The sequence below is a fragment of the Homo sapiens genome, chromosome 9 (genome assembly GCF_000001405.40).
Source record: "Homo sapiens chromosome 9, GRCh38.p14 Primary Assembly".
NCBI lineage: Eukaryota > Metazoa > Chordata > Mammalia > Primates > Hominidae > Homo > Homo sapiens.
In genome coordinates, this window is record NC_000009.12 from 84,258,438 (window position 1) to 84,264,498 (window position 6,061).

The 6,061-nt window shown below is 40.5% G+C and overlaps 1 annotated feature.

The window, feature by feature from the left end:
- Positions 2,776 to 2,835: a silencer, noted in NCBI's record as "silent region_19983". NCBI's record gives its function as "represses an Ori minimal core promoter by ATAC-STARR-seq in GM12878 lymphoblastoid cells {active_cell/tissue: GM12878}" and the evidence as "EXISTENCE:reporter gene assay evidence [ECO:0000049][PMID:35858748]".

Here is a 6,061-nt window from a genome sequence, read left to right on the forward strand (position 1 = left end):
GGAAAGAAGGCTCACTGCACAGTAACTTCAACCGTGATCGGCCGGGTCACATCTGCCCTGCGGGAGGGAGGTGAAAAGGCGGAGGGTACACTCTGTTCCTTAGTGAAATCGCTTAGGCACAAATCAGATCAGCTGGCCTGTCTGGCTGAGACCCAGGACCTAGAGGGACCAAATTGGCAGACCTGCTTTCCAATATGTAGGTAATCACATTATCATCATTGCTTGGGGTAAGACGGATGGTTTTTACAGAATAGCCCTGATTGTGAAAGGCTGTTTGTGGGTGTGTTTGGCAGAATATTTTATACCCTCAAGATGTGCAGTTTAAATTAGATGGTGAGAAAAACCTAAATGCATAAAAAATAGGACTATTAAGAGAGAAAACTGACGTTTGGCTCTTGTGAGGCTGTTTAACATCACATGCTCTAGGATCTCAATATCGATGTTCAGTATTGTCCATCTCAGCAGCAGGGTGATGTTAGATAACACGTTTGAACTGCTTTTTACCACTCTACTAAGTTTTTTTTTTTTTTTTTTTTTTTTTTGAGACAGTTTCACTCTTGTTGCCCAGGTTGGAGTGCAGTGGGGTGATCTTGGCTCACTGCAACCTCCGCCTCCCAGATTCAAGCGATTCTCCTGCCTCAGCCTCCCGAGTAGCTGGGATTACAGGCGCCTGCCACCATGCCTGGCTAATTTTTTGTATTGTTAGTAGAGATGGGGTTTCACCATGGTGGCCAGGCTGGTCTCGAACTCCTGACCTTGTGATCCACTTGCCTTGGCCTCCCAAAGTGCTGGGATTACAGGCATGAGCCACCGCACCTGGCCTCTATTAAGATATAAAGCTGTTAAATGGATTACCTTGAAAGACATGATTTTTGTACATTAAATATGGTCAAATAGCAGTAATTTCATATGATTTGATCTAATAATTGACCTTTCCTTTAGAAGAGCTTAGATGTGGGTTGAGAGACAGAAGAGTAGCTTATCAACAGACATAAAATTATTAAGAACTAGAATTAAGAGGCCTTTCTTTGAAGTCAGTAACACAAAGATTTGTTCATGCTCCTTAAGGTTTTTCCTTGACTGACTCCATGTGGGTGAATCTTTTTCTCTAGATGAAGCACACCGTCCAATGTTTAAGCCACAAGGGAAAATGAACCCAGTTACTATTTAATACATGCAACTCAGATTTATCCCAAAATATGATGATCTACCTTGACCCGCCACCTTTTTCCAAGAGTTGACACTGTAAGTTTTCTAGAAAAAACTCCACTCTCGCATGACCAAGATTTGTGTGTGTGATCAACATTTAGAAGAACGTGCTAAAGAAGACACTGAAGACAATTCCCAAACAAGAGTTAATATCTGAGCTGCGGCAGCATCCTTGCCACAAAAACGCAGCTCCCCAAGCAACACAGGGCTCACTTAGATGTGTAAGCTCTGGTTGTGTTTCTTTTAAAATCAGTCGCATTACTTTATAGTCACATCTTGTGAGAGAGGGCTCAGGGTCTCCAGCATCCCTGGAGAGGCATCTTCTTCCTTCTGCTTGAATTTTCCTCAATCTTCTATCCCGTTTGAATGGCTGTGACCTGTTAGGGATTTTATTTGATTTTTAGGGCTTTACTATTGTATTCATCTTGATGCTCCTCAGATAGTGTTTGTCCTAATCATTGTTTCTAGTACAAAGCCAAGTTGAACTGCTGGAATTATGGAGCAAAATACTGAACTGATATTTTCTTCCTTGTTATTGGCTTGCTGTTCTACAGGCTAAAGGAAAGTCATGACTTTCCAGGCACAGTTAAATAAATGGTCATAGTTAGTCCAAACTATCTTGAGAGATGACCAAAGTTTGGGTCTCAGTTCTGACCTAACTTGCTGTGTCATATTTGGCAAATTTATTAACCTCTGGCAACACCAGTTTCTTTCTTAAGAAAATGAAAGATTGAAATAGATAATCTCCCAGTTATTGTCTGATTCTAAAATAATACAAGTCTATATAAAACCTTGTATAAAGTTAGGCTGTTATTTAAATTATTGTATCATCCTTTAGACATTCACTTTTATGGAGAGGAAAAGAGAGAAGGTAGCTCAGAAATAGGTTGGTAGGAAAATTCAGGTTTTAAAAATGGTTGGTGGCATTTGAGTTGTATAGAAATAATTTAGATTTGAGTATTTTTTGAACATATAGTCTTTTTTTTTTTTTTTAAAGACAGGGTCTTACTGTGTCACCCAGGCTGGAGAGCAGTGGTGAGATCATGGCTCACTGCAGCCTAAACCTCCTAGGCTCAAGTGATCTTCCTGCACCAGCCTCCGGAGTCACTAGGACTATAGGCACATGCCACCATGCCCAGCTATTTTTTTTATTTTTTGTAGAGACGAGGTCTCACTGTGTTGCCCAGGCTGGTCTCAAACTCCTGGGCTCAAGTGATCCTCCTGTCTTGGCCTCCCAAAGTGCTGAGATTATAGGCATGAACCACTGTGCCTGGCTAGATATATTCATCTTTGTAGGAAAACATTATAATAGGAGAGCTCCAGGAATTCTGGAGGATTGCTTCTGACACCCAAAGCTTCTCACTTTTTTTAGTACATTTGAAAATTGGAATTCATGCAAAAAGAGTTAGTCATTTATATTGGAATAAGTTCACGGTCACCTTGAAGTTTCTTTTTGTACATGGAGGATGACGTGCCTGTTTTACTGTCTTGTCTAAGAGCTGAGCAATTAGGCAGAAGAATGGCATTTACGGAATTTTTGGCATTAGATTTCGGGCTGATATTGATTGGAATATTTCAAGTTGTCATCTTGAGCTTCAGGCGTCAATCAGTGCCCTAGCCTGGGCGGGAACAAGGAGATTGCTCCAGGAAGTTTGGGCTTGAGCATGCTCGCTGGTGACATCCTGCCACCTTGTGGCCAGCTCTGGACTTCAGCATTAGGCCTCGTCCCCTAAGTGGCCAGGCTGCTTTCCGCTGTGCCCAAGCTGCAAAAGCAATCTGTGACAATCATTTCCAGGCTTCTGGATTGACAGCACGATTCTATGGGTTCTATTCATTATTTATAGATTCTTCTATTGATCATAAAATATTTGTGTTGCACCCCTGTCCCAAAGGAGTTTCCATATTCCTTTTATTCTTTAAGAGCGCTCGCGTAGCTGATAGGACAGCAGAAATGGAAAAAGGTTAAGTGTTGGAAATGTCAATCTTGATTCTGCTCTGAAATTGATTCTTGCTTCAGGCAAGCCCCAGATCTGGATCCCAGGTTCTTCCTGGTTCTGCAGATTAAACTACTCATCCCTGGGAAGAGCACTGAACCCATCCTCCACTAATGGAGCATTTTACTAGTGTGATCGCATTTCACACCGTCTGTCTGTGGTAGACATTTTTGTCTTCATTTTGTAAGTTTACTGAGGTTCCGAGACACTGAGTAACTTGTCCAAGGCCACACAGGTGATAAACAGTAGAACTGAGACCCAAACCTAAGTAACCTGACACACTCTTAACCCCTTTGCCCTGTGTCTGTGAAATGAAGTAAAAACACCTTACTACACACACACGGCAGGTGTAAGATCAAAGGAGATAAAAATGCAAATGAAAGCATTTCATAATGAAAAATATCTATCCACATGTTGGTTGACTTTTAAAATGCCCATTATTACTATTGTTATGCATGCTGTCGAGATTATTGTTAATGGCAGGCCAAAATTTTCTGTTTCATAAGTGGAAGAGTGAGTCCTCAGAGGGAAATATTCAAAATTGATTAAAAGGTTATTTGCAGTTGCTATTAATGATGTTCTCTAATCCTCTCATTTTCCCATTTGCTGCCCAGTTTCGAATGAAGCTGATCCTAATTAGAGATTCCATTTGTAGGAAAAATAACTTGTGTGTGCATTCAGTATGTAAATTAAAAGTGGCTTTTAGTAGTTAGGGAGATAATAACTAAACCAGTGTGATAAACTTCTGAGATTTTCGCCTGTGGCTGCCCAGGTGAATTGAGCAGTTAATTTAGATTAAAGATGAGAAAAGATGCTCAGCCATTCTTACTGGGGGATAAAGAGGACTTCATTTTGTGTTCTGTTCGGGTGGGACTAGAATTATTCGGAATGACTGGCTATCCTGAAGATATCCACGCACCCCTCTACTTCACCGATGTAGGTACAGTATTTGCATCATGAAAATAGGTAATGCTTAAGGTAAAACAAACAAACAAAAATTAGCGTAGACTTCTTTTTCTCAAAGCCAGTGTTGGGTTATAGGAAAGAATATATTAGCAAAACCTAGTCATAAGTTATAAAGGAACCATGTTGGATGCAAAGTGTGTAATTGTCTGCCATAGGTGGTGCAAATTCACCACTCATTCCCCACACAGTATGTTCATACGTCATCCCTTTAACAGGTTAAGGCAAGGAAGAGAACCAGGTTTGACCAGCGAATCTTTGTGGCAGGATCCTCCTTGAAATGCCCTAGAATCGATGGAGCAAATATGAGGATCTATATCAGCAAGCATCTCACTTAAGTGCTTAAATTTGCTGAAAATGTATCCCGTGGCTTCAGGGATGCCTGTCACTGCCTCTGGGTTGGGATCCATTCTGGTTTCCTTTATGAGACATAAATTGCTGATGCTTGCCACTTTGTATTCACAGTTGAGGTGCATGAATCCTAAGTTAAATATTTATATTTTTTGTTTCCTATGCCTTATGTATCTGAGTTTTGTTCATATCTACCTGTATTTTATATTTAGAAATATGCAGACAGTAGAAGTAAAATATCACACATTGAGTTTCTCCTCCTCCTACATGCATGTGCGTGCAAAGACACATGCTTTTATTTTTATTTATTTATTTTTTTGAGACAGAGTCTCACTCTCTTGCCTAGACTGGAGTGCAGTGGCAGGATCTCAGCTCATTCCAACCTCCACCTTCTGGGTTCAAGTGATTCTCCTGCCTCAGCCTCCTGAGTAGCTGGGATTACAGGCGCCCGCCACCATGCCCAGCTAATTATTGTATTTTTGGTAGAGAAGAGTTTTCACTATGTTGGCCAGGCTGGTCTCGAACTCCCAACCTCAGGTGATTTGCCCGCCTCGGCCTCCCAAAGTGCTGGGATTACAGGCATGAGCCACCGTGCCTAGCCTACATGGCTTTTAATACGTTTAAAATAACCTAGAAAATTTAAATGTAAGTAACATTGAATGTATTAAAGGAGAAAATAAGCCAAAAATGGAAAAGTTGAATGGGGTACCCTTTGTGGAAGGGAGGACATGGCTATTCTATCCTTTTCTCGTTGGTGATGCTGGTACTGGAGCTGGTGGTAGACAACACTGATGTGGGTTGATTCTATAACAATTTGGCTTCTTAAGCCACTTTCTTATCCTCCCACCAGTTACCTGTGTAAGTCACTGCCTAGCTAGTGTTTGCAAGGGATGAAGAAAGAAAGAATTCAATTTAGTGTAGCACATGAACAGCTACACGGGGCGATTTCAAATCATCTTCACTTTGATTCTCCTGACCTATACTGAAGAACATCACGAAACACGTTGTTTCTACTATAAGGAAGTAGTTTCAGTTGTTGTTAATTACATTAAATGATAGATGCCCTCTTTATAAAAATTCAGAATAAATTTGTTTGTTTTTAACATCAGGAATAGTAGTATTTCTTTTGAGAAATTTAAAAAATAAGCATATGATCCCAAGAGCTGTGTTCTTAAAAGTTTTAAGCCACGTCAACCACTAGAAGGCTTGAATCTAAATTTGCGACTCATTAATAGCAAATATATATGGTTTTTATGGTATATATTTTTGTGTTGTTTATTTCTTACTCTATTATATGTTGCCATTTTCTTTTTTTGTCTCACTTGCATTAGTAGTGAGGATTAAGCTTGGCTGTGGGGAATGGAAAACACAAAATACCAGTAGCTTAAATAAGAGAGAAGCTTCTTTTTCTCTCTGAGTAGGTGGTCCAAGTTTAGAATGGCAGCTCCAGAATTATTAGGAACCCAGACCTCTTATGTGTTGCACTGCCGTCCTCAACACCCAGCTTTCAACTCATGGTACAAGATGGGCTGCTGTGGCTCCAG